Source organism: Homo sapiens, chromosome 1, assembly GCF_000001405.40.
Source record: "Homo sapiens chromosome 1, GRCh38.p14 Primary Assembly".
NCBI classification, from domain to species: domain Eukaryota; kingdom Metazoa; phylum Chordata; class Mammalia; order Primates; family Hominidae; genus Homo; species Homo sapiens.
Window position 1 is genome coordinate 28,893,305 of NC_000001.11, and position 26,825 is coordinate 28,920,129.

The window sequence follows — 26,825 nt, forward strand, 5'->3', positions numbered from 1 at the left end:
AAGCAAAACTCCCACCTCAGCCTCCCAAAGTGCTGGGATTATAGGTGTGAGGCACCGTGCCCGGCTGGCCCAGGTTCTTAAAGTCTCCTCCTTGACACAATCATCACAGTTGTAATTCAGTAGTTATTTACATGATTGTCTCCTCACTGCATTGTAAGCTCCATAAGTACAGGGGCCATGTCTGTCTTCTTCAGGCTGTATCCCCAACACCTGGCACACAGCAGGTGCTCAGTTAATGTTTGTTCACAGGGACGCTGCTGCCTCTAGTGGGCTGGGCCCTGGAGGCCTGATGAGCTGAGGGTGGATTATCAGATTATTGCTGACTAGGGCGTCTGCCCCAGCAAGACCCCAGAGGCAGAGGGAGGGCAGGGTTCCCTCCTGGCTCAGGCCCTGGCTGAAGAAGGGGACCCAAAGGGCTTTTTCTTTGGCTGTGCTGTGTGTCTCACTGCTGTCATTTGCTTCCATGTGCCACTGCGGTGATGGCTCCATGGCCTCTCCTGGACTGGCTGCGTGACCCCGACGGCTGCTTCTGGGTGAGTAATGGTTTGACTTAATGACTGCCACATGAGCTGATTTTAATGCATGTCCTGTGGCTCTGAGGCCACTGGGAGGCGTAAAGAGAGGCCCGGGGGTAGGGGTGGAAATGCTGAGAGAGGGCACTCTGTGATTTTAGGATCCTACCATAAGCAGGGCCTACCAATTAAACACACTGGGTGCTGATTTTTTGGTCACATGATACAATGCAAAGGTCTTTGGGGCAGACTGGGCTGGAATAGAATCCTTTTTCTGTTGCATACAGGTGGGTGATTCTTTGCATCTCAGTTTCACGTCTGCAAAATAAGAATATGAATACTTATGGGACACAAGTATATTTGTTCTTTTATTCATGTAAGCCCCACAAGGGCAGGGATTTTTGTTCATCTGTTCACCAGGTGCTGTATCTTCAGCGCCTAGGGTATAGTAGCACGTAGTAGGTGCTCACTGAATGTTTCCAAAGGAATGAAGATATTTATTGACTGTTTATGGTATACCTATCAATGTGCTTTGTATTGGATTAAATGGCTAATGGATATAAAGGGCCCAGCATGATAGGGGCTCAGTGAATGTGAATTCCCTATTTGCTCAATAGACTGTGACTTTCTTGGGGATCAGGGCTCTGGTAAAGTGAGCTCTGGGTCTTCTGAACTTAGTAAGGGGCCAAGTACCAAGCATGTATCAATCAGCACAGAGAGGGGCCTGGCAACTGGACTTCCTGGAGAGGGAGTGACAGAGCCTCTAGTTTTCATCAGAAGAGAGAGGCAGCTGGGAAGATCTGGGGCAGAAATGGGAGGGATGGGGAGGGACTCTGCCTTCTAGTACTGCCACTTTTCCTTGTCCAGGTGTGACCCTGGACAAGGCATGCTCTTCCCTGAGTCTTGGAGACCTCATCTGTGATGTACATATCACAACACTTTCCCCGCATAGGTGTGGGAAGGAGTTGATGAGAAGAGCCCACACAGGGCCCCATTTGGTAACTTCCCAGCCCTGGGCTCATTCTGGGATTCTGGGAGGGGACTATGTGTTCCTCTTTCTGGCTTTTTTCTCCTACTTTTAACTGCTCACCCAGCTGGGACTGGAATCCAAGGAGCCCCTGAACTTCCCAGCAGACTGGCCAGGGCCCTGGGATAAGGGCTGGGCTCTGCCTGGTGTGGGAGGAGCTGAGTGGAGGTTCCAGCTCTGCCACTCTCGCTGTGTGACTTGGTTCTGTAACCCCTTCTCTGCCTCGGTTGCCTTACCTGTAAAGTAGGGTTATTAAAAGACACCTCCCTTGAAGAATTGTTTAATTAGAAAATAGGTGGATTAGGCATTATTATCCATAATGCTATTTGGCTCTGGCTGAGGTGACTCTAGGGAGGGCCCTGAAGAATTACATCCCACTGTGGCCCAGGGAGCCTGGGACTCACTAGTCATCATGTGTATTATTGCCATTTATTGGCTATTTCTTATGGGCTGGGCTGGTTATATGCTATTTTAGACACATTATCTCATGCATTCCTCCTAGTGACCTAGGAGACCCTCTGAAGCAGGCATTATTATCCCCGCTTCATGGCACTGGGTAAGTCAAGTGAGTCACCCAGAATCCCACAGTTCTTTAGGGGTACAGCTGGGGCTCAGACCCAAGCCTGCTCACTCCAGGGCCCAAATTATTATTATTATTTTTTTTTGGATGGAGTCTCACTCTGTCACCCAGGCTGGAGTGCAGTGGTGCCATCTCGGCTCACTGCAACCTCCACCTCCTGGGTTCAAGCAATTCTCCTGTCTCAACCTCCCAAGTAGCTGGGACTACAGGCGTGCACCACCATTCTTGGCTAATATTTGTATTTTTAGTAGATGGGGTTTCACTGTATTTGTCAGGCTGGTCTCGAACTCCTGACCTCAGGTGATCAACCTGCCTCAGCCTCTCAAAGTGCTGGGATTATAGGTGTGAGCCACCACGCCCGGCCCTAAGGCCCAAATTCTTAGTGTGAAACTCTCATATTTCTCCCAAGGAGGTAGAGTGTACATCTGAATTCTCTTTGTCCATCTCCCATGACCAGTACACGGCTGGTGGGAGCTACTGACGTGTTTGTCGGATAAATAAATTCATGCACACACACTGCACCCCCACCCAGGCCTGCTGCTGTAAGAGTTTTAAAGAGAAAAGATAATAGAAAACAGGAGAAGGCTGGACAGCTTGGCACTTGAGGGTCAGACAGGCCTGACTTTGCATCTTGCATCTATTGTTTACCAGTTGTGTGACCTTAGGCAAGATATCTAACCTCTTGGAGCCTCAGTTTTCTTACCTGTAAAATGGGGAAAATAAAAGAACCTACCTACCTCTTAGGCTTCTTGTGAGGATTAAATAGTGAGGCACATGGTGAGCATTCAACAAATAGTAGCAATGGTTATTGTTATTATTATAATTATGAATATTATTTGGGGATTATAAAGATGTTCCTCTTGGGACAAAAGAGACCAGGTCTGGGAGGGAACTTCTGGGGACAGGTGGTGGATAGCAGCCTAGTCTGACAGACTCCTGAAGGCATGTGAAGGGAGGGAGGTGGCCTCATGGAAGTAAGAATGTACCTCCCTTTTCTAGTCATCTGCTTTTCCTCTGTGTCAGGCCCTGTGCTGGGCATGGGGCCCAGAGATGAATCTGTGTAGTCCTTCCCCACCTTCCCCACCGGGAGCTCGGAGTCTAGTTGGGAAGAAGATGCAGAAATCACCAACTCCACCTTTATTGAATAGGTGTTCTTATGCAAAGGGCAGGAAAAAAGACATTCCTAGTGGAAGGAACAGCATGTGCCAAGGTACACAACTGCCTGCACTTGGGGGAATGCAGCTGAAGAGACAGGCTCAAGACAATGAGTGAGGACTTGACCTATGGCAATGGAGAGTCACTGGATAGTAAGCAGGGAGGGGCAGGGACAGGGGCAGGAGGAACTGTCCAGGTGAGAGATGCCGAGATCTTGGGCTGGGGACTGTGCCATGGGATAAGGAGCAGCGATGTGAAGTCTGTTTAGGAGGCAGAGCCAGCAGGGCGTGATAATGAACTGCAGTGGCCAGAGAGGAGAGGAGAGGGCCAGAGGGAGATCTTGGGGCCTGGGGCCAATGGGGCCCACTGGGGTCTCTGGCTGAGGGACATATCTGGGAGGAGGAGGCAGAGCTGGGTTGAGGGTAAAAGCCATTCAGCTGCTCTCACTACCTTTCCCCTCAGTTTCCCAGGCAGCAGCTATGTCTGAGCTGGACACTGGGGCAAGGCCTGTGGCCACCAGGGCCCAGGGTACCCACTCCTATCTCAGGGGTCCCTTGTGGTGACCCTGGTAGGTCTGGTAGGGATGAGACCTCTTTGGGGTGGGGGCCAGGCAGGAGCTGTGTGGTGCAGAAAAGCCCTGGGTTCTAGACCTACCAGTGTTACTGAGTGTCTGTGCCACCTCAGGAATCACCAGGCCTGGTGGCTCACACCCGTAATCCCAACATTTTAGGAGGCTGAGGCAGGAGGATCACTTGTGCCCAGGAGTTCAACACAAGCCTAGGGAACATGGAGCAACCCCATCTCTACAAAAAAATACAAAAATCAGCTGGGCGTTGTGCATGTGCCTGTCATTCCAGCTACTTGGGAGGCTGAGGTGGGAGGATCCCTTGAGCCCAGGAGGTTGAGGCTGCAGTGAGCTGTGATTGCACCATTATGCTCCAGCCTGGGTGACAAAGTGAAACCCCTGTAGGTAGGTAGGTAGGAAGGTAGGAAGGGAAGGGAAGCGGAGGGAAGGGAAGGGAAGGGGAGGGGAGGGGAGAGGAGGGGAGAGGAGGGGAGAGGAGGGGAGAGGAGGGGAGGGGACAGGAGGGAAGGGAAGAAAGGAAGGGAAGGAAAGGAAGGAAAGAAAGAAGGCACTCCCATCACTCCCTCTCTCTTGCCCTCCTTTTCCTTGCCTTGAAAGTGAGAATAAGAAAACCTGTTTTGCTTGCCTCGAAGATTCAGTGATAAAATACAACTACAGACAGTAAACATTTATTGAGAGCTGATGGGCTAGGTTCTGGGGGCACAAAGGTGACTCACTCAGTGTTCCTGCTCCTTAAGGACGAACTGCCATGTGCAGAGTGAGCCCAGGGGAGCAGGTGGTTAACTCAGGGGCATCAAGGGGAAAAGAGCTAGGTTGGGCTTTGAAGGATGAGTAAGAGCTCTCTAGGTAGGCAATGGCAGGAACAACTTTCTAGGTACAGGGAATGGCATGTACAAAGGCTCAAGACTGCATACTGTGCTCAGGATAGATGAGCACTGTCGTTGGTGTGGCTGGAGCACAAAGGGAAAGGCTGGCAGTGACAGGAGATGAGGCTGGTCAGGGAAGTAGGGCCCACGTCAGGCAGACCTTTGGGGATGTCACTGGCTCCCCTCTCCTTCCTGCACCCTCACAACTGCCTGTTCTGCTCAGAGAGACAACCAGGACCTTCCCATGCTGCTCCTCCCCTTGAGTTCCCACCTTCTCCCCTCATCTTCACCACCCCAGCCAGATCAAGTGGCTGCCTCTCTCAGGAGTCAATAACCTGGCTGCCCTGCCAGCCCTGCCACTGAAAAGCCATGTGGCCTCCAGTCACTCACATACCCTGTCTATCTCAGTTTCCACCTCAGTGAAGTGGGAACAGCAGGCTTTCCTCCCAGAGAAGGGCGGAGGCTTCAATGAGATAATCTCCACAAATGGCCTGGCCCAGTGTCTGTATATATTGGGCACCCATAAACAGGAGCTAATTAAGCCATCATTATTTAGACTCCTCAATCTCCTTGGCCCCACCCACTGCTTCCCCTTTACCTCTCCTGGCAGCCCGTTCTAGCCAAGAAAGGAAGGAAAAGATTAAGAAACAAGCCCAAGTCTTCAGAGGGGTGCTGGCCCACTGCCAAGCTGGCTCCCCTCCTGCCCCTTGCCCGCCTTGGCCTTGGGCCCCAGGATTCTCAGTCCTGAGGCCTGGGCACTCTCCCACCCCCTGCACTAGATGCCCTGCCCTGGCTGGAGGCCAAAGCCAGCAGCAGCCTTGAAACAGGACACATATTTAGAAAATAGCTTTATTTTTTTTTTCCTCTGGGAGTGGATAAGGAAGCCCTTTTTTTCTGGTGCTTTCGTGAAGAGTGTGATGTTCAGTATTTCTGGAGGTCCAGTGGTCGGGGTAGAGCTGGATCCCTCAGCCTTCTGGATCATGCAACAGACGCTAGCCACCAAGTCCCTTATGGAACAGACACGGACCTCAGATCAAAGCAAGTGTCTGTCAGTGCAAGATCACACAGTAGAAGCCCAGGTCTCCAGACCCTCTGTGCACTGTCTCATAGATGCATGTGGTGCAGTGGCCTTGGCTGTCACTTTACCTCTCTGAGCCTCAGTTTTCTGCACTGTAGAGTGGCACCGATTTTACCATAAAGATCGGCAATAATGTACAGAAAGCACCTAGTGAGTCCTCAGTGGCAGGAAGCTACTGTTAGAGCTGCTGCCTCTTAAAAACTTCTTCTGCCCTTCCCCTTCCTGATCTAGGGACTTGGAATATCTGCTATGATTTCTATTGAACAAATGACACCTGATAAGCCAGTTTTAAAGCAGGAGGCTCAGCATCTGTTATGCTTCCCTCCCCTCTTCCCCCTTTCCTGGGACATTCTAGCCCCACCCATGACAGTTTCCCTTTTGCAGCCTCCGATGATGCCACTGCAGGCACTCAAGAAAAGCAGAGAGTAGGAAGGGCCCCATGCCATCCAGGCTTAGGCTGGGGGGAAAGTGATGGACTGTGAACTTGGAACCATCCTCGGGAGCTAGGATGACTTGAAGACTTCCACAGATGCTGGGAAATAGGCCTAAAAGAGAAAACCTGGTTCACAGCCCCAAAAATGGTAGAGTGGAAGGAACACCAGCCCTCCTAGCTCTCCACACTGTGAGATCTTGGGCAAATTACCTACCCTTCCTGAGCCTTCATTTTCTGATTTAAAAAAGGAAGGGGATGGATTGAGGTCAGAGGTTTCTACTAATACTACAGGATTAAAAGTAGGGATTTGTGAGCAGAGAGACTTTGGTTTAAATCCCAGCTTCACCCCTTACCAGCTGTGAGACCTCTAGCAAGTTGTTTTACCTAAGTGAGCTTCAGTTTTTTCCCCTATAACGTGGGGAAAATATTAGCATCTTCTCATAGGATTATTTAAGGGCTAAATTAAATAATTTGTATGAAGTACTCAGTCCGTAGCTGACAGACATGGTGGAATTATTATTGTTGTTTTTGTCATCGTTATTCTATGATCGGTAGAGATAATAAGAAGTCATAAAAGAGCTCATTGAGAAGGAAGGACTTGAGAAATGTACAGGATTGATTGAATTATTCATTCATTCAATAAATATTTAGAGTTTCCACAGATAGGCCAGAGACTAGCAGCAGAAAGGTGGAGTCAGACAGAGCTGCCTATTCTAGCTGTGTGATGTGGGATCATTTACTTCTTCTTCTTTTTTTTTTTTTTTGAGATGGAGTCTCCTTCTATCACCCAGGCTGGAGTGCAGTGGCATGACCTCGGGTTACTGCAACCTCTGCCTCCCAGGTTCAAGCAAACCTCCAACCTCAGCCTCCCAAGTAGCTGGGGATATAAGCATGCACCACCATGCTAGGCTAATTTTTGTATTTTTAGTAGAGATGGGGTTTCACCATGTTGGCCAGGCTGGTCTTGAACTCCTGACCTCAAGTGATCTGCCCCTCTCAGCCTCCCAAAGTGCTGGGATTACAGGCATGAGCCACTGTGCCTGGCTGGATCATTTACTTCTCTTCTCTTGGTCTCATGCCTTTGTTTGTAAAATGGTGAGAATAGTGGGCAAAATGTTACCTCCCGGGCTGTCCTGAGGCTAAAGAGGGTTTAAGTGCACTAGTCTGTCTGTGTCTGATTCCTTTCCCACTAGGCCCCTCAGCTGTTAATGACGAGAGGCATGATCCCAGGCAAGTCCATCAAGCACACTTCCACCCCAGGGACTTTGCACTTGCCAGTCCTTTGGCCCAGAACACTCTACCCCCAAACACTTTTGTAGCTTGTTCTCTCATCTCTTTAAATTTTTTGTTTAAATGTCACCTTCTCAATAAGACCTTTCCTATCTTTTTATTTATTTATTTATTTTGAGACGGAATCTCACTCTGTTACCCAGGCTGGAGTGCAGTGGCGAGATCTCAGCTCACTGCAAACTCCGCCTCCCGGGTTCATGCCATTCTCCTGCCTCAGCCTCCTGAGTAGCTGGGATTATAGGTGCCTGCCACCAAGCCCGGCTAATTTTTTGTATTTTTAGTAGAGATGGGGTTTCACTGTGTTAGCCAGGATAGTCTCGATCTGCTGACCTTGTGATCCGCCCGCCTTGGCCTCCCAAAGTGCTGGGATTACAGGCGTGAGCCACTGCACCCGGCTATTTATTTACTTTTTGAGACAGAGTCTTGCTCTGTCGCCAGGCTGGAGTGCAGTGGCATGATCTCGGCTCACTACAACCTCCACCTCCTGGGTTCAAGTGATTCTCCTGCCTCAGCCTCCTGAGTAGCTGGGACTACAGGCGTGCGCCACCATGTCCAGCTAATTTTTGTATTTTTAGTAGAGACAGCGTTTCACCATGTTGGCCAGGGTGGTCTCGATCTCTTGACCTCATGATCCGCGAGCCTCAGCCTCCCAAAGTGTTGGGATTACAGGCGTGAGCCACTGCACTCGGCCTATTTTTATATTATTATTATTATTATTTTGAGATGGAGCCTTGCTCTGTTGCCCAGGCTGGAGTGCAGTGGTGCGATCTTGGCTCACTGCAATCTCCGCCTCCCAGGTTCAAGGGATTCTCCTGTCTCAGCCTCCTGAGTAGCTGGGATTACAGGCACCCGCCACCACGCCCATCTAATTTTTGTATTTTTAGTAGAGACAGGGTTTCGCCATGTTGACCAGGCTGGTCTCGAACTCCTGACCTCTGGTGATCCACCCACCTCAGCCTCCCAAAGTACTAGAATTACAGGTGTGAGCCACCGCACCCGGCCTCCTGACTTCTTACTTAAAATTGTAACACCTTTCTGTCCTCTAACCTTAGCACTGTCTGCTTATTTTTATCCATAGCACTTATGACTCTTTGACATACTGTATTTTATTATTTGTTTATTGTCTCTCCTCGCATTGGAATGTAAGCTCTGTGATGATGGTGATTTTTGTCTATATTATTCAGCGTTATATCCCTTGTACCTAGAACAGTGCGTGGTGCATAGGAAGTGCTCAGTAAATATTTGGGGTGTAAACTGATGACTATATGAAGCCTGTTCTCTCTGGATCTAGGAATATTTTGAGCACACAGTAGAATCTCAATAAATGTGTGAATGAGAGAAAAAGTGAGCGGTCATCATCCTTTCCATTTGTCAGATCATACTTTAGCTGGGTCAACCCTGAGGCTCTTTTGCTTCTGATTGCTTCTGATATTTTCTGCCAGGGCATCAGTTTCAATTGGAGTGCCCAAATCTTTTGTTCTGGAGCCCGAGCTTTGCAGAATTTCTAGTTGGGGCTGTTTGGCTGTTGGGTCCGCAATGGTTATTATGTCATTATTGGTAATTAGCACTTAGGCCTAGAGGATTGAGCTTTTTGTTTTTCAGCAGAAATCATAGCAGAGAGCTGTGCTAGACACTGGGAGCCAGGCTTGGAGCAGCTTCCTCTGGAACTTTCCCCTTCCCAGCTCGGGGTCCATGATTTAGGGAGACCAAGACAGAGGTGCCCAAAGCTAGGGGCACATAGGTCACCAGCTCAACTGCTATTTTCCCCAGACAGTATCCTGCAATGTTTTCCCACAACACCCCTGGGTCTCTATGCCTGGCCTGGTACAGGGGGGTTCGTCACACCTTCAGGGGAGCTAGGTGTAGGGTTTCCAAATATCCAGTGGACAGGGGCATTTTCTGATGCTCAAGATTATAAGTGGAGGAAATTATCCTGGGTTTGAGACTCAGGAGCCTGAGCTTAAGTGGCTGTGTAGCTACTGACTTGCTGTGTGTTCTTAGGCATGTCACTGCCTCTTGTTGGGCCTCAGCTTTCTCACCTGTCAAACAGAGATAAAGACGCCTACTTGACCTCACTAGGGAAGAGAGGCAAGATAGTGTCTTGAGCAAGGAGTTGGGTTCTGGACTCACACACAGCTGGCTTCCCAACCATACCCCTTCCTAGCTGTGTGACACTGGGCAAATCACTTCACCTCTCTGACGTCAGTTCCCAAAGCAATAAAATGGGGCTAAAATAGTACCCACTCTACAGGGTTGTTGTGAGAATTAAATAAGAGAATGCAGTTAAAGTACTTAGGCACTTAGCTGGTACTCTGCACATCTTTGCTGGTATTATGATAATGACCATCATGGAAATGTAGGCAATCTGTAAAAAGAATACTAGCAACAGGGCCAGGCAGATGTGGATTTGAATTCTAACTCTGATACTTACTAGCTGGGTGATCTTGGACAAGTTTTTCACTTATCTGAGACTCTATTTCTTTTTCTTTTCTTTCTTTTTTTTTTTTTTTTGAGCTAAGGTCTCACTCTGCTGCCCAGGCTGGAGTGCAGTGGTGTGATCTCAGCTCACTGCAACCTCCGCCTCCTGGGTGCAAGCGATTCTCCTGCCTCAGCCTCTTGAGTAGCTGGGACTACAGGGGCCCACTGCCACACCCGGCTAATTTTTATATTTTTAGTAGAGACAAGGTTTCACTGGCCAGGCTGGTCTTGAACTCCTGATCTTCAGGTGATCTGCCCACCTCAGCCTCCCAAAGTGCTGGGATTACAGGCATGAGCCACCATGCCTGGCCTGAGACTCTATTTCTTCATCTGTACAATGGAAATTATAGTCATATCTTCCTCAAGGGGGTGTTGTGAAGGTTCAGTGACATATTGTATATAAAACACTTGGTGTAATGGTTGGCACATATTAGCTCCACTTTATAGAAAAGGAAGGGAGGGGAAGTGAATTGCCTGGACTCGCATAGCATCTCAGTGGTGAAGTTCTGATTTGAACCAAGGTCGGCCTGCCTCAAAAGTGCAGTTTTTTTGTTGTTGTTGTTTGTTTGTTTTTTGAGACAGAGTCTCACTCTGTTGCCCAGGCTGGAGTGCAGTGGTGTGATCTTGGCTCACTGCAACCTCCACCTCCCGGGTTCAAGCGATTCTCCTGCCTCAGCCTCCCGAGTAGCTGGGATTACAGGCACCCACCACTGCACCCGGCTGATTTTTGTATTTTCAGTAGAGACAGGGTTTCACCATCTTGGCCAGGCTGGTCTCGAACTCCTGACCTTGTGATCCATCTGCCTCACCCTCCCAAAGTGTTGAGATTACAGGCATGAGTCACCTTGCCCGGCCCAGCTTTTTTTTTTTTTTTTTTTAAACTTTTTCTTGCCATCACTCAAGTATGGGATCATAATGATGGCTGTTATTATAGAGCCACTGGACTCATTCATGCTAGGATCCCCAGTGCCCAATAAATGTGTGATGGATGAAGAAAGGTGGGACCACTGTGTCCCCACTTCCAGGGAGGCTTTTACCTTGAGGTTGAGGATTCTTTCTGGTTGGTTGCTAGCAGATTTAAAATAAAAATCATACTTAGTGTAGTATGGGGCTTTGTAATCTGCAGAACCCTTTGCATTCTCCACATCATTTGACCCTTCTTCCTTTCTTATATTGAAGCTCTAACCTCTAAGGTAATGGTATTTGGAAATGGAGTAATTAATCAGGGAAGTAATTAGGATAAGATGAGATTATGAGGGTGGGGCCCTCATGACAGTATTAGTGCCCTTATAAGAAGAGACACCAAGGCCAGGCGCGGTGGCTCATGGCTGTAATCCCAGTACTTTGGGAGGCGGAGGCGGGTGGATTACCTGAGGTCAGGAGTTTGAGGCCAGCCTAGCCAACATGGTAAAACCTTGTCTCTACTAAAAATACAAAAAATTGGCCAGCCGTGGTGGCTCATGCCTGTGATCCCAGCATTTTGGGAGGCCAAGGCTGGTGGATCACAAGGTCAGGAGATCGAGACCATCCTGGCTAACACGGTGAAACCCCATCTCTAAAAATACAAAAAAATTAGCTGGGCATGGTGGGGGGCGCCTGTAGTCCCAGCTACTTGGGAGGCTGAGGCAGGAGAATGGCATGAACCTGGGAGGCGGAGCTTGTAGTGAGCCGAGATCATGCCACTGCACTCCAGCCTGGGCGACAGAACGAGACTCTGTCTCAAAAAAAAAAAAAAAAAAATTAGCCAGGCGTGGTGGTGGGAGCCTGTAATCCTAGCTACTTGGGAGGCTGAGGCATGAGACTAGCTAGAACCCGGGAGATGGAGGTTGCAGTGAGGCGAGATTGCGCCACTGCACTCCAGCCGGGGCGACAGAGCAAGACTATGTCTCAAAAAGAAGAGACATCAGCTGGGTGCAGTGGCTCATGTCTGGAATCCCAGCACTTTGGGAGGTCCAGGCAAGTGGATCACTTGAGGTTGGGAGTTTGAGACCAGCCTGGCCAACATGGCAAAAACCCCTCTCTACTAAAAATACAAAAATCAGCCGGGCCTGGTGGTACGTGCCTGTAATCCCAGCTACTCGGGAAGCTGAGGCAGGAGAATCGCTTGAACCCGGGAGGTGGAGGTTGCAGTGAGCTGAGATCACGCCACTGCACTCAGCCTGGGCGACAGAGGAAGACTATGTCTCAAAAAAAAAAAACAACAAAAAACCAGAAAGCTTGCTGTCTCTCCACCATGTAAGGACACAGCAAGAAGGTGACCATCTGCCAGCCAGGAAGAGCACCCTCACCAGAACCTGGCCATGCCTGATCTCTGACTCCAGCCTCCAGAACTGTGAGAAAATAAATTTCTGTGTTTAAGCCACCGAATCTATGGCATTTTGTTGTGGCAGCTGAGCTGATGAAGGGTGGGTGACTTGCCTAGAGTCATACAGCAAATTTATTGTGGAACTAAGGCTGCAACTTATTTGCAGTCTCTCTTATGACTTCTCTCTTTCTTTTTCTTTCTTTCTTTTTTTTTTTTTTTTTGAGACGGAGTCTTGCTCTGTTGCCCAGGCTGGAGTGCAGTGGCGCGATCTCGGCTCTCTGAAACCTCTGCCTCCCAGGTTCAAGTGATTCTCCTGCCTCAGCCTCCAGAGTAGCTGGTACTACAGGCGCCCACCACCATGCCTGGCTAATTTTATGTATTTTTAGTAGAGATATGGTTTTGCCATGTTGGCCAGGCTGGTCTCGAACTCCTGGCCTCAACTGATCCACCTCCCTCGGCCTCCCAAAGTGTTGGGATTATAGGCGTGAGCCACTGTGCGTGGCCCCAATTTCTCAATTTCTTCCCCACTAAAGTGCTCCCAGTCACCGGAAGTCTTGGAAACTGAGGTTAGTCAAATGCTGGCTGGCCGGCTCAGAACCTGTCCTATAGTAGCAGCTTTGGAGGGTCTTGGAGCAAGTCAAACCTGGCAATTTCTGTGCCCCCAATACCCCTGCTTCCTTATATCTCCCCTTCTGCCCTGTCCCTCTGTCAAGTGAGGGTTGGGCCAGGCTGACTTTACCAGTTTTAGAAGACTGTCAGCTAGTAGGTGGCACAGAGCCTGTTTCTTGGAAAACCCTCTACGCCTTGAGGGTTCCCTCCCCTAGTAAGAGAGAATTAGTGGGTTAAGGCTGAGTGAGCTGAGGCTTTGCTGGATCAGGGTCATTAGGCTCATTCCAGCTGGTAAGAGAATAGGGTTGGAGAGGGTCATGGGAGGCCAGATCAGTGGGTCTCTCCCTGAATGTCCCAGGGCTATTATCAGAAGTAGTCAGGACAGCCTTTCCCTGAGGTCTTGGGACAGATATTAATATTACTCATTCACATCATTTCCAAAGTGCTTTCCTGAGAGTGCTTTCCTGAAAGCAGTACATAGTAGAGGACAGTGGCATCAGACAGACCTAGTTTAAGCTGCGATGTTAGGCAAATCACCTAACTTTTCTTTTTTTTTCTTTTTTTTTTTTTGAGACGGAGTCTCGCTCTGTTGCCCAGGCTGGAGTGCAGTAGTGCGATCTCAGCTCACTGCAAGCTCTGCCTCACGGGTTCACGCCATTCTCCTGCCTCAGCCTCCTGAGTAGGTAGCTGGGACTACAGGCACCCGCCACCAAGCCCAGCTAATTTTTTTGTAGAGACGGGGTTTCAACATGTCAGCCAGGATGGTCTCAATCTCCTGACCTCATGATCTGCCTGCCTCTGCCTCCCAAAGTGCTGGGATTACAGGCGTGAGCCACCATGCCTGGCCTTTTTTTTTTTTGAGATGGAGTCTCACTCTTGTCACCCAGGCAGGAGTACAGTGTGCGATCTTGGCTCACTGCAACGTCCGCCTCCTGGGTTCAAGCGATTCTTGTTACTCAGCCTCCCAAGTAGCTGGGATTACAGGTGCCCGCGACCACACCCGGCTGATATTTGTATTTTTAGTAGAGACATGGTTTCCCCATGTTGGTCATGGGCTGGTCTCGAACTCCCTACCTCAGGTGATCCACCTGCCTCGGCCTCCCAAAGTGCTGGGATTACAGGCATGAGCCACTGCACCCGGCCTTCTTTTTTTTTCAATAGAGATGGGGTCTCACCGTTACCCAGGCTGGTCTCAAACTCCTGGGCTCAAGTGATCCTCCTCCCTCAGCCTCCCAAAGCGCTGGGATTACATTACCCCTATGCATTGGGGTTGCTGTGCAGACATGCCAAGAAACAAGGGCCAGAGGGAAGAAGATTGAAATTGTAAAAGTGGACCTGGTGGATGGTTGTTAAGGCATTCCTTGACAACAAGTGAGCCACTGTGCCTGGCCTTTTTTTTCTTTTTTGAGACAGGGTCTTGCTCTGTCACAAAGTGATGAAGTGTGGTAGTGCGATCATGGCTCACTGCAACCTAGACCTCCCAGGCTCCAGTGATCCTCCCACCTCAGTCTCTCGAGTAGCTGGGACCACAGGCAGGTGCCACCATGCTTGGCTATTGTTTTTTTTTCCTAGACTCCAAAGCTAGTGCCAGATTGGCTGATTTTTTAAAAATTTTAATTTTTTTTTTGTAGAGATGAGGTCTCACTATGTTGCCTAGACTGATCTCGAACTCCTGGCCTCAAGCAGTCCTCCAACCCTGGCCTCCCAAAGTGTTGGGATTATAGGTGTGAGCCCCTGCACAGCCCCTAATTCATCTAAGCTGTAGTTTCTTCAACTGTACTTGAGGCTAATAATATTGCCTAAGTATTACTGTTAAGAAGTTAAATGCAATAATGATTAAAAAGTACTTACTGTGTGCCTGGCACATAGTAAATACCTCATAAATCTAGTTGTTATGGCTGGGCACGGTGGCTCACGCCTGTAATCCTAGCACTTTGGGAGGCCGAGTCGGGCAGATCACCTGAGGTCAGGAGTTCGAAACCAGCCTGGCCAAGATAGAGAAGCCCCGTCTCTACGAAACACATGAAAATTAGCTGGGTGTGACGGCGGGGGCCTGTAATCCCAGCTGCTCGGGAGGCTGAGGCAGGAGAATCACTTGAACCTGGCAGGCAGAGGCCGCGGCAAGCCGAGATTGTGCCACTGCACTCCAGCCTGGGTTACAGGGCGAGACTCCGTCTCAAAAAAAAAAAAAAGTAGTTATTATTATTATTATTATTATTTTTTTTTGAGATAGAGTCTTGCCCTGTTGCCCAAGCTGGAGTGCAGTGGCATGATCTCGTCTCGCTGCAACCTCTGCCTCCTGGGTTCAAGCCATTCTCCTGTCTCAGCCTCCTGAGCAGCTGGGATTACAGGCGTGTGCCACCACGCCTGGCTAATTTTCATATTTTTAGTAGAGACAGGGTTTCACCATGTTGGTCAGGCTGGTCTCGCACTCCTGACCTCGTGATCCACCCGCCTCGGCCTCCCAAAGTGCTGGGATTACAGGCGTGAGCCACTGTGCCCGGCCCAAGTATCATTTTTAAGAGAGAAAAATGGGAAACAAACTCAATGTCCAATAGTAGGATTAACTAAATTATGATATATCCGCTTGCTAGCTTTGTTAAAAATGATGATACAAATGTTCACAACATATTGTTAAATGAAAAAAGTCAGTTTTAGGCTGAGCCTGGTGGCTCATGACTGTAATCCCAGCACTTTGGGAGGCCGAGGCAGGCGGATCACCAGAGGTCAGGAGTTCAATACTAGCCTATCCCACATGTCTCTACTAAAAATACAAAAAAAAAAAATTAGCTGGGCGTGGTGGCGGGCACCTGTAATCCCAGCTACTTTGGAGGCTGAGGCAGGAGAATCTCTTGATTCTGGAAGGCAGAGGTTGCAGTGAGCCAAGACTGGGCCATTGCACTCATCCTGGGCTATGGAGTAAGACTCCGTCTCAAAAAAAAAAAAAAAAAGTCAGTCCTAAAATAATATGGTATAAATTTTTAAAAAGCGTTAGGTTGAGACATATGAAATTGTTCACATTTGATCATTTTTAACCTATAAAATCAGCAATTTCATATGACTTAATATATGTACACTGAAAAGTACACAAATAAGAAGCTAGGTACAGTGGCCTGTGCTTGTAATCCCAGCTACTTGGGAGGATGAGGTGGGTGGTTTGCTTGAGCCCATGAGTTCAAAGCTACAGTGAGTTATAATTGCACAGCTGCACTCCAGCCTGGGCAACAGAGTGAGACCCTATATCTTGAAAAAATAAATAAATAATAAAATAAATAAAAAAATAAAAATAAGGCTGGGTGCAGTGGCTCACGCTTGTAATCCCAGCACTCTGTGAGGCCAAGGTGGGAGGACTGCTTGAGCCCAGGAGTTCAAGACTAGTCTCCACAACATAGGGAGACCTCATCTCTACCAACAATAAAATAAAAAATTATCTGGGTGTGGTGGCATATACCTGTAGTCCCAGCTACTCAGGAGGCTGAGGAGGCAGGATTGCTGGAGCTCAGGGAAAGGCTGCTGTGAGCCATGATTGTGCCACTGTACTCCAGCTTGGGTGACAGAGTGAGATCTTGTCTCAAAAATAGATAAATACAATAGATAGATAGATAGATAGTATACATAAGGGTGGGTGTGGTGTCTCATGCTTGAGACCAGGAGTTCGAGACCAGTGTGGGTAACACTATGAGACCCTGTCTGTACCAAAAAATTAAAAAATTTGGTGGACATGATGGCATGCCTGTAGTCCCAGCTACCTGGGAGGCTGAGGTGGGAGGATCACATCACTTGAGCCCAGGAGGTCGAGGCTGCAGTGAGCTGTGGTCATGCTACTGTACACCAGCCTGGGTAACAGAGTGAGACCACTGTCTCAAAAAAAAAAAAAAGTGTACGTATAAGAAAAGGTACTAGAAGGGAAGGTCCCAAAATATTGATGGTAGTTATTTTTGACTGGTGGCTTTATAGTGACTTACATTTTTTCTTGTGTTTCTAAATTTTCTATGAACAATTCAAGTACTACTAGTAAAATTAATCCCCATCCCACTGTATGAATGGTAATTCCCATCCCATTATAGCCTGTTTGATTTATCATTTGTGTTTACAAGTCTAAAATAACTGTGATTTTTTATCCTGCCATAGGCAGGATGGCAAGCACTACTCTTCATATACTTTTGGTACCAGCATCAGTTTTCATTCAACAGTACTGTTCAGAACACTTTGTTGGTGGGCCCAGCTTTTCAAAGCCCTCTTCAATCTCTTGCCACCCTCCACAACAGACACAGGGCTTCAGGCCAGCTGTGTCCCTAATCCGCCCACGTCCCAGATTTGGGTATGGTTTCCCCGCCCCTCCCCGCTTTCTTCCAGTCTCATCTCTACCAGGTCATCTGAGGCCTCATCTACACTCCCTGGCCTTCCCCACTGGTCACCACCTAATTTCACCATCTAATTTCACCCTCTTATGTGCAGCTGGTGTTTGCTTTTGCTTGGGCTCAGTTTGCTGTGGGGAAGGATTAAGACCCTTTCACACTGTCTTTTTTTTTCTTTTTCTCTTTTGCTTACTGCCCTTGACTGCTCCAGGGGCTAACAGGCAGCTAGCGGGGCCTGTATTCCCTAGGAAGGAACACAAGGGGTAGGGGGTGGGGAGGTAATGGTGGGCTCAGCTGGCAGGCGAGATAGAGATGGTCCTTAGGGACCCCATCCTGGGGCTTGGGGCATAGCACAGCTGCCACCCAGATGTGAGCATGGAGCAGAGCTGTTTCTGCCTTGGAAATTAGCCTCAGAGACGGTGCTTGGGACCTTTACCCTTGGTACCTGATGGCAGTCTCTGCAGGGTGAGCTGGGACTGGATACCTGGTTTGCAGAAGTCTGAGAGGGCAGATGGGCCCAGGAGTAAAGGTAGTTTTTCCACCTTCATATTAGGCATTACTTATACCCCCACATCTTCCTATGTGATAGGCCTGGCAACACTCAGAGATTGGGCACTTAGCCTAACAACTGAAGATGTGTGTCTAAAATAACAAAAATTCCTCATGTGTGGATAGTACTTTACAGTTTACAAAGCCCTTTCATCTCCAGGCTAAGAATTAAAAGCCAGCACTGGAATTCAGGTCTTTCAGATTCTAAAGCCTGAGTCAATGGATTATGGTGTGTTATTGCATGGCACTCTGAATTTCAGAGTAGTTCATACCTGCCTTGTGTCTAGCCTTTTGCTGTTAGCCTGAGACCTCTACTTATTTGCAGAGTAAGGATTATTAAATGCTACATATTCTTTGCATCCAATTAGATGTGCCATTGGCTAGCACTTCATGGCATAGAGAATACTGGGCTTTCATGAATCTGAATTTGCTGGATAACTTGGTGGTGGTGGAGATGGTAAACCACTGGTAATTGGTCTTCTATACTCATCCTTCAAGGTACCAGATTTTCCTGTCTGATTGGTGAAGGAAGCCTGAGGCACAGAGGTGGTAGGACTAGAACTCTGAATAAAAAGCACAGCTGAACCTGAGGACTTGAGGCAGGAGACCAGAGTATTTAAGAACAGGTGTGGCCAGGCATGGTGGCTCATGCCTGTAATCCCAGCACTTTGGGATGCTGAGGTGGGTGGATCACCTGAGGCTGGGGGTTCGAGACCAGCCTGACCAACATGGAGAAACCCCATCTCTATTAACAATACAAAATTAGCCAGGCGTGGTGCACATGCCTGTAATCCCAGCTACTCACGAGGCTGAGGCAGGAGAATCGCTTGAACCTGGGAGGCAGAGGTTGCAGTGAGGTGAGGCGAGATCGTGCCATTGCACTCCAGCCTGGGCAAAAAGAGCGAAACCCCTTCTCAAAAAAAAACAGGTGCTTCACCCCTCATACACAGAATGACCCTGGCCAAGTCACCTGACCTCACTAAGACTCAGTTTCCTTATATGTAAAATGAGGATGTTCATTAACTCATTCAACAAATATTTATTGAGCGTATACTGTTCTGGGAGATGAATACAGATACAGTCCCTGCCTTCCTGAGCTTGCAGTCTAGTGGGTCTAGATTACAGCAATTTATTTGAGAGGCACAATAAATAATAAATATATAGTAGAAAGTCAAGTAGGGTAAGTGCTATGAAGCAAATTAAAGCAGGATAAGGGTGTTTGAGTGGAGGGTGTTTTAGATGGTATAGTCAGGTGGTTTTCAAGGGGTTTTATGATGTTTCAAATGGACAATTTACATAACGTGCTCAGCTCAGTGCTAACAACAATTGCATGCTTAACAAATATATTATTATATTTGCCAGTTCCACACCTCTCAGTCCACATTTTAGTCTCTGAATAGTAATAATAATTAACACACATAGATCTTACTATGAGCTAGGCACTGCTCTAAGTCCTTTACATATTTTAACTCATTTAATTCTGTTTTCCTTTTTCTTTTTTTTGAGATGGAGTCTTGCTCTTGTCACCCAACCTGGAGTTCAATGGCATGATCTCGGCTCTCTGCAACCTCCACCTCCTGGGTTCAAGTGATTCTCCTGCCTCAACCTCCGAGAATAACTGAGATTACAGGTGCCTGCCACCAGGCCCAGCTAAGTTTTGTATTTTTAGTAGAGATGGGGTTTCACCATTTGGCCAGGCTGGTCTCGAACTCCTGACCTCAGGTGATCCGCCTGCCTCAGCCTCCCAAAGTTCTGGGATTACAGGCATGAGCCACCATGCCTGGCCTAATTCTTACAGTAACTCTGTGAGGTGGGAACTATTATTATCCTTCTCCCTCCCCCAACCCTCGTTTTTGTTTTTAGGGATGGAGTCTTGCTCTGTTGCCCAAGCTGGAGTGGAATGGCATGATCCTAGCTCACTGTGGCCTTGAACTCCTGTGCTTGAGCAATCCTCCCACCTCAGCCTCCCACTATAGGTGGGAGTCCCAGCTACTTGGACATATTATCCCCTTTTATGGTGTTGAAAAATGAGGCACAGCCGGGCGCGGTGGCTCAAGCCTGTAATCCCAGCACTTTGGGAGGCCGAGAAGGGCGGATCACGAGGTCAGGAGATCGAGACTAACACGGTGAAACCCCGTCTCTACTAAAAATACAAAAATTAGCTGGGCGTGGTGGTACACGCCTGTAGTCCCAGCTACTCGGGAGGCTGAGGCAGGAGAATCGCTTGAACCCGGGAGGCAGAGGTTGCAGTGAGCCGAGATTCCGGCACCGCACTCCAGCCTGGTGACAGAGCGAGACTCCGTCTCAAATAAATAAATAAATAAATAAAAGAAAAATGAAAATCAAACCATTAGAAAAGGCTGGAGACTAAGAATTGAACCCAGGCAATCTGTTTCCAGAGGCTGTGCTGGGATCGTGAAGGGGCTGTGATTAGATATCAGGAATGTCTAGCTGGCATCTACAGACTCTGCTGTCAGATGGCCTGGCTTCTTATCCTGTCAGTTTTAAGTCTCTCTGCTTCAGTTTCCTCATCTCTAAAATAGAACACCAGATCCTATCTTACCTTCTAGGTATCATGCTTAAAACAAAAGCCTTCTTTCTGCACTGTGGGTCCGAAGCCTGTTCACAGACCAGCCTAGCAGGGAGTAGGAAGGGTCAAGGGGTCTCTGACACTTCTGGAAGGAAATAAAGACACACTAAGCAATTGTCAGAGCAACCCTCAGTTCATCTGGAGACCAGACCTCGGAAGCTAGGTCTTTATAATGTTGAGATTGCCAGGGGGGAATTAGGAGATCCTTAAATGCAGAAGACAGGTTCAATCTTGGCGTGGTCTCAACACTTAGCTTCCATTTCAGGCCTTACACAGCTGGCACGAGAGGTAAAGTCTCATCGAATGTCAGGGTTGGAAGGGCGCCTAGAGACAGTCAAACTAGTGGATGGGGAAACTGAGGTACAGAGAAGCTGAGTGACTTACCCGAGGTCACTAAGCGTTTAGGGGGAGTCAGTTGGGGTAGCCTGGCTACAACCTCTACGCGAGTTACTTCCCTGAGGCTTCCAAATCTCGGCCTCTTACTTGGAAGGAGGAAAGGGCCTCACCGTCCAGGGCTCTAGCTGCCTCATGCCCCACGTGGGTGCTGCGGGATCCCGGAACACCCCGGCTCCAGACCGGGTTCGACTTGCGCGTGCGCACACGCGGCCAGCCCCTTGCCTTTTCCTCTCTCTTTTTCGTTCCCCTCTCCTCTCCTTACCGGCCTAGGGGAGGGGGGAAACAAGGGGAGCTAGAAGTTGGCCTCAGCCAATGGGCGGACGGGCCGCGGGCCCGGCCCCCTCCTTCCCTCCGGCGCGGCCCAATAGAAATTTACTACAATGTTGTGGCGAACTGAGGGGGAGGGGCGCGGGCCGGCGGGCGGGCTGCGGGCCGGGCTGGCCTCGCCTCGCAGAGGGAAGGCGGGAGGGCGCGCGCCAGGGTCGCTCGCTCGCTCCCTCCCTCCGCTGGTGCGTTTAGTCAGTCAGCCAGCAGCAGCCGGCGGGCCCGCGAGCCGCAGAGGGCCCGAGCCTCGGACGCCGGCGCCTCCTCCTGCCATTGTTCGTCGGGCTGCAGCAGTGGCGGGCGCAGGAGCCCGGCCCCGGAGCCACCGGTGAGGCGAGGCGGCGGCGGCGGCGCGGGAGCCGGGGCGGTGGGCGTGGAGCTGTCCCCGTGGGGACGGTCCTGGCGGCCGCGGCGGCGCTGCAGCCTCTTTGTCTGCAACCCCCGACAGGCCCCGGGCCGGGGCGCGGGCTCTCCCGCGGAGGAGCCTCGTGTGCACGCCGAGTCGCCAGCCGGGACGCGGCCCGAGGAGCGAGGGGCGGGCCAGAGCCGCTGAGGAAAGGGGAAGGGGTTGCGTCGCGGGAGTGTTGGAAAGTTAGGCTTGAGATGTATTTTTGACGGTCCCCTCGGGTGCGTCAATCACGGTGCGGTGTGCAGGAGCCTCGGGAGGAAACCAAATGCGGAGAATCGCAGGTTTCAGACGGTGAAGGTGTTGCGTGCAGCCGCGGAGCGATTTCTTCCTGGCGAGGGAGCTGGGCTGTCTGCAGAAGTCAGGCGGAATCTGAGGACTGCAGGGAGCCCTGGCAAGACTTCGCAGGCCTTCCCGCCACCGACGCCTGCATCATTGAAAAACATGTTCCCCCTTAGTCTTCTGGGTTCCCAGCGAGCAGAGGGTTAAATCTATTCTCTCAGCGTCGTGACCTCCTTTTTCAGTTCGCGCATCTGTCGGCTTGGAAATCTTCCTCCGTGCTCGCTGGGCTGCTGTACCTGTGGAGAGGCCGGGTCTGGGCTCGCCCTCCGAGATTGACCAGCAGGCCATTATTCCTGGGGAGGTTTTGCCAAAACAGGTCATGCTCCCCAAGAACAGGCATTCTCTTGAGAAAAAGTGATCTCACGTGAAACAGATTGCTGATGGACTGGTTTCTGGCCACATGATAGCGACTGTCATCCTGTTGTTTCTTTAACTGTACCCTGTACCCTGCCATAAATGACTAGTCTGTGGAGACTTGTTTTTTGGCATGTAGTTGTTCATTAGGAGATAGTTTTTTCTTTTTCCTTTTTTTTTTTCAGATGCTTTTTTTTTTTTTTTTTTTTGTAGTCTGGGTGATTTCACAGCTGCTATTTTCTTCCCTTCTGTTTTTAGGGAAAATTGCAAGAAATGGTTGTGTCTTGTGTCTTGGATATTATTATAGTGGATTTATACTCTCTTGAGGATGTACTGTAGTCAATGCTGTTGCTCATTGTTGTTTTCTGTATTCTCAGTCCTGGCAAAAATTTTAGTTGGTTTGATCCCTTTAATCAAAAGCAGGATATATAGCCCGTATATGTTTCTTCCCGTCCCAGTTTTGTTAATGTAGCACTAACCCCTACTTTTTATGGAAACTTGATGTACTCTTCATTTTCCTTTTCTGTAAATTGAAAGTGTAATCAGTTCTTCGCCAGTTGTAAAATTTTTGGTTTGGGGTGTTATTAATATAATCCATGTAGCGTACATGCTATCTGGCGTACAGTAAGCACTCAATAAATGGCAGATTCAAAAATAGATGTAATAACTGAACACCAGATTGCCTTAGAATCAAAGTAGTTAATTCAGTGTGCTTTCTATAAGAAGCTTATAATTAAGGTAAATATAGATATTATTCATACACCTGGGGAAACAAGTACAGTATATCTTTGGCACTATTAAAAGTGAACTATGTCGGGCACGGTGGCTCACGCCTGTAATCCCAGCACTTTGGGAGGCCAAGGCGGGTGGATCACTTGAGGTCAGGAGTTCGAGACTAGCCTGGCCAGCATGGTGAAACCCCATCTGTACTAAAAATGCAAAAAAGTAGCTGGGTGTGGTGGCATGTGCCTGTAATCCCACCTACTCAGTAGGTGGAGGCAGGAGAATCGCTTGAACCTAGGAGGCGGAGGTTGCAGTGAGCCGAGATTGCACCACTGCACTTCAACCTGGGCAACAGAGCAAAACTGTCTCAAAAAAAGGTGAACTCATTGTTGAACATAAGTTCAGAATGCCAACCTTCTGATTCCTCTGTCTTCTACCAACAAAACTATACATTTTTCCTTGTATGTTTGAATTCAGGCTTAGAAATAAATGTTTTTAATCTGTAGGTTTTACCAAAATTCTCCCAACAATTTTTTTTTTTTTTAAACAGGGTCTCATTCTGTCACCCAGGCTGGAGTGCAGTGGCATGATCACGGCTCACTGCAGCCTTAAACTCCTGGGCTCAAGTGATCCTCCTGCCTCAGCCTCCCTAGTAGCTGGGACTATAGGCGTGTGCCCCCATGCTTGGCTAATGTCTTTTTATTTTTTGTAGAGACAGTCTCACTATGTTGCCTAGGGTGGTCTTGAATTCCTGGACTCAAGAGATCCTCCTCCCTGGGCCTCCCAAAGTGCTGGGATTACAGATGTGAGCCACCTCACCCGGCCTCTCCCAACATTTATTAAGTGTTTTATACCAAATGTCTTGTAAGTTCTTATGCAATATGGCTACAATCTACCTTTCCACCTTTATTCTCCTTATTTTTTGTATTGTGCAACCAAATAGAACTACTCTGTAATAACCCTTGCTTTGCCATCTCTCTCTCTGTGTGTGTGTGTGTGTGTATGTGTGTGTGTGTATTTATTTATTTATTTTGAGATGGAGTCTTACTCTGTCACACAGGCTGGAGTGCAGTGGCATGATCTCAGCTCACTGCAACCTCCACCTCCTGGATTTAAGCAATTCTCCTGGCTCAGGCTCCCAAGTAGCTGGGATTACAGGCGCTTGCCATCATGCCCACCTAACTTTTGTATTTTTAGTAGAGTTGGGGTTTCACCATGTTGGTCAGTATGGTCTCGATTTCTTGACCTCGTGATCCACCCGCCTCGGCCTTCCAAAGTGCTGGGATTACAGGCATGAGCCACCGTGCCTGGCCCTGTATACATATGTTTTTAGAGACAGGGATCTTACCTTGTTGCCCAAGCTGGAGGGCAGTGGCATGATCCTGGCTCACTGCCGCCTTGAACTCCTGGGTTCAAGTGATTCTCCCACCTGAGCCTCCTGAGCAGCTGGGACTACAGACGTGCACCACCATGCCCAGCTTTTTTTTTTCGTTTTTAAAACACGGGGTCCTGCTATTGTTTCCCAGGCTGGTCTCAAACTGCTGGTCTCAAACTCCTGAGCTCAAATGATCGTCTCACCTCTGCTTCCAAAAGTGCTGGGATTACAGACATGAGTCACTGTGCCCAGCTTAGTCTGTATTACAGACATGAGCCACCATGCCTGGTGTGTAATTGTTGGTGTGAATGATAGAGTTTGCTTACTTTTTTTTAATGTAGTAATCCAGTTTCATATTGCTAATCTGATTTCATAACTTTAGAATATCAGTGGCCATGAGAGGCTGAGTTTGGTTCTGAAATCAAGAGGAGCATAGATGTAGACCACAGTCTGTTTCCTTGTTATCTAAGAGGCAGGACAGCATAAGTGTTGCCAGTGTATTTTTGTTTTTCTTGTCTTTTCTGTCTCAGCCTCCTGAGTAGCTGGGACTACAGGCACACACCACCACACCCAGCTAAATTTTTGTATTTTTAGTAGAGACGAGGTTTCACCATGTTGGCCAGGATGGTCTCCAATCTCTTGACCTCGTGATCTGCCCACGTCCGCCTCCCAAAGTGCTGGGATTACAGGCATGAACCACCACACCCAGCCAATGGCCTGTATTTTTCTGAGTTTCATCAAGTTTGTGTTTGGTTAAATGCATATTCAGATGTGGATTCATTGCTACCTCTATATTTGAATTTTTTCTTTAATTACTTGAACATGGAATCACTTTATTTTGTGAGCTAAACAACAATAATTCCAATAACTTTTCTTATGAATAACTTTGTTTTTTTCCTCTAAATAAAGCCCCCAAAGATGGCCTCTGAATTAATCAGTTATGGGCCTTATGTATGTGAAGGATCCAAAATTATTGAAAAGTAATTGCTAGCTAGGTGCAGTGGTTTATGCTTGTAATCCCAGCACTTTGGGAGGCCGAGGCCCACGGATCACTTGAGCCTTTGAGTTTGAGACCACTGCATTCCAGCCTGGGCAACAGAGTGAAATTCTGTCTCAAAGAGAAAAAAGAAAAAGTAATTGCTTGATTGCATTTATCATAGCATTTAGTTAGAGGAGAGGAGAGGCAGATGCCAAATGTATGTTATTTTTTGTTGTTCATTTAAGTTTCTTGGTATGTCACTGGTGGCTTTTACTGTGCGTCCTTTTTAAGAGTGGGTTCATGGTGTGTTTAGTCAAATGCAATATAACTTACTCTGGAGTGCACACTGGGTTAGATTAGTATTTTGATTTACTCTGCTGCTATTTAATGAATACATAGAAAGATAAAGAAGAATGCTGTAGCAGTGAGGAGTATTCAGAACTTGGAGGTGTTAGAAAGGAGAACTTTGATATTTTATATTGAGTGCTGATCTCATTTAGAACTACCCACCTTACTGACACTTTGCTTCAAATATTGGTTTTGGGAAAATCCGATTATGATGAAAGTCTGTTTATACTTATTTTGCTGATTTTTTATTTAAATTGAATTGTATCCACTTAAAATATTTGAAAATAAATTGGCTAGCTCTTTGAACTTTGGAGAACAGCAGCCAGTATAATTCAAGGAGTAGCTTGAAGAGACTTTAATATCCCCTACCCGCTAGCTTCGTCAGCTTCCCACTAAGTCACCCTAAGTAAACATGCAATCTGGGTAGGAACTGGGAGCTTGATATCCAAATATTCTGTCTCTCCTTCCAGTCAAATTGCTATCCTTAAAAGTCCTTTCTTTCTTTTTTTTTTTTGAGGCAGGGTCTTGCTCTGTTGCCTAGGCTGGAATGCAGTGGCATGATCTCGGCTCACTGCAACCTCTGCCTCCCGGGTTCAAGCGATTCTTCCGCCTCAGCCTCCTGAGTAGCTGGGACTACAGGCATGCACGGCTAATTTTTGTATTCTTTGGTAGAAACGGGGTTTCACCATGTTGGCCAGGCTGGTCTTGAACTCCTGATCTCAAGTGATCCATCTGCCTTGGCCTCTGAGAGTGCTGAGATTACAGGCATGAGCCACAGCATCCAGCCCAAAAGTCCTTTCTATATAGAAATTCCAGAGACATTCTGGCGTCATGCTTTTAAATTATTTATTGTTTTATTATTTTTATTATTTTATTATTGCAATTAAGAGCAGTTCTCTTTTTTGCAAGTTATCTCTTATCTCCAAGTTAAATCTATGTGGATTAAACTGTGATTGTTTATTGAATTGCTGCTCTCCCTCTTCCGTAGCTGATGACTCTTTGAGTCAGTTCTACCCAATTAATCTAGGCCCTCAACTCTCAGGGTGATCTCTGCTTGTGGAGATTAAAATTGTTTCTAAGCTATGTGGAATAGAGCTTGGGTAAGGTTAAAGAAATTTTGGCAGGGTGGGTAGGAAGGGGCAAGATTATCTGTCTGATGGAA

The 26,825-nt window shown here is 48.1% G+C and overlaps 1 protein-coding gene across 70 annotated transcripts in view, besides 2 other annotated features; it reads left to right on the forward strand.

The window, feature by feature from the left end:
• Window positions 1-26,825, forward strand: part of EPB41 (erythrocyte membrane protein band 4.1) — a 232,942-nt gene that overhangs the window by 6,205 nt on the left and 199,912 nt on the right. For 58 of the 70 annotated variants that reach the window (XM_005245760.2, XM_005245753.2, NM_001376013.1 and 55 more), the window contains exon 1: window positions 21,265-21,464. The exons of the other annotated variants lie outside the window; for them this stretch is intronic. The gene's annotated coding sequence lies outside the window, so the exon portion shown is untranslated. Of the gene's footprint in view, window positions 1-21,264; window positions 21,465-26,825 lie in introns of those variants that run through there. 70 annotated transcript variants of the gene reach the window in all.
• Window positions 21,030-21,689: a silencer, noted in NCBI's record as "silent region_551". NCBI's record gives its function as "represses an Ori minimal core promoter by ATAC-STARR-seq in GM12878 lymphoblastoid cells {active_cell/tissue: GM12878}" and the evidence as "EXISTENCE:reporter gene assay evidence [ECO:0000049][PMID:35858748]".
• Window positions 21,910-22,069: an enhancer, noted in NCBI's record as "active region_608". NCBI's record gives its function as "activates an Ori minimal core promoter by ATAC-STARR-seq in GM12878 lymphoblastoid cells {active_cell/tissue: GM12878}" and the evidence as "EXISTENCE:reporter gene assay evidence [ECO:0000049][PMID:35858748]".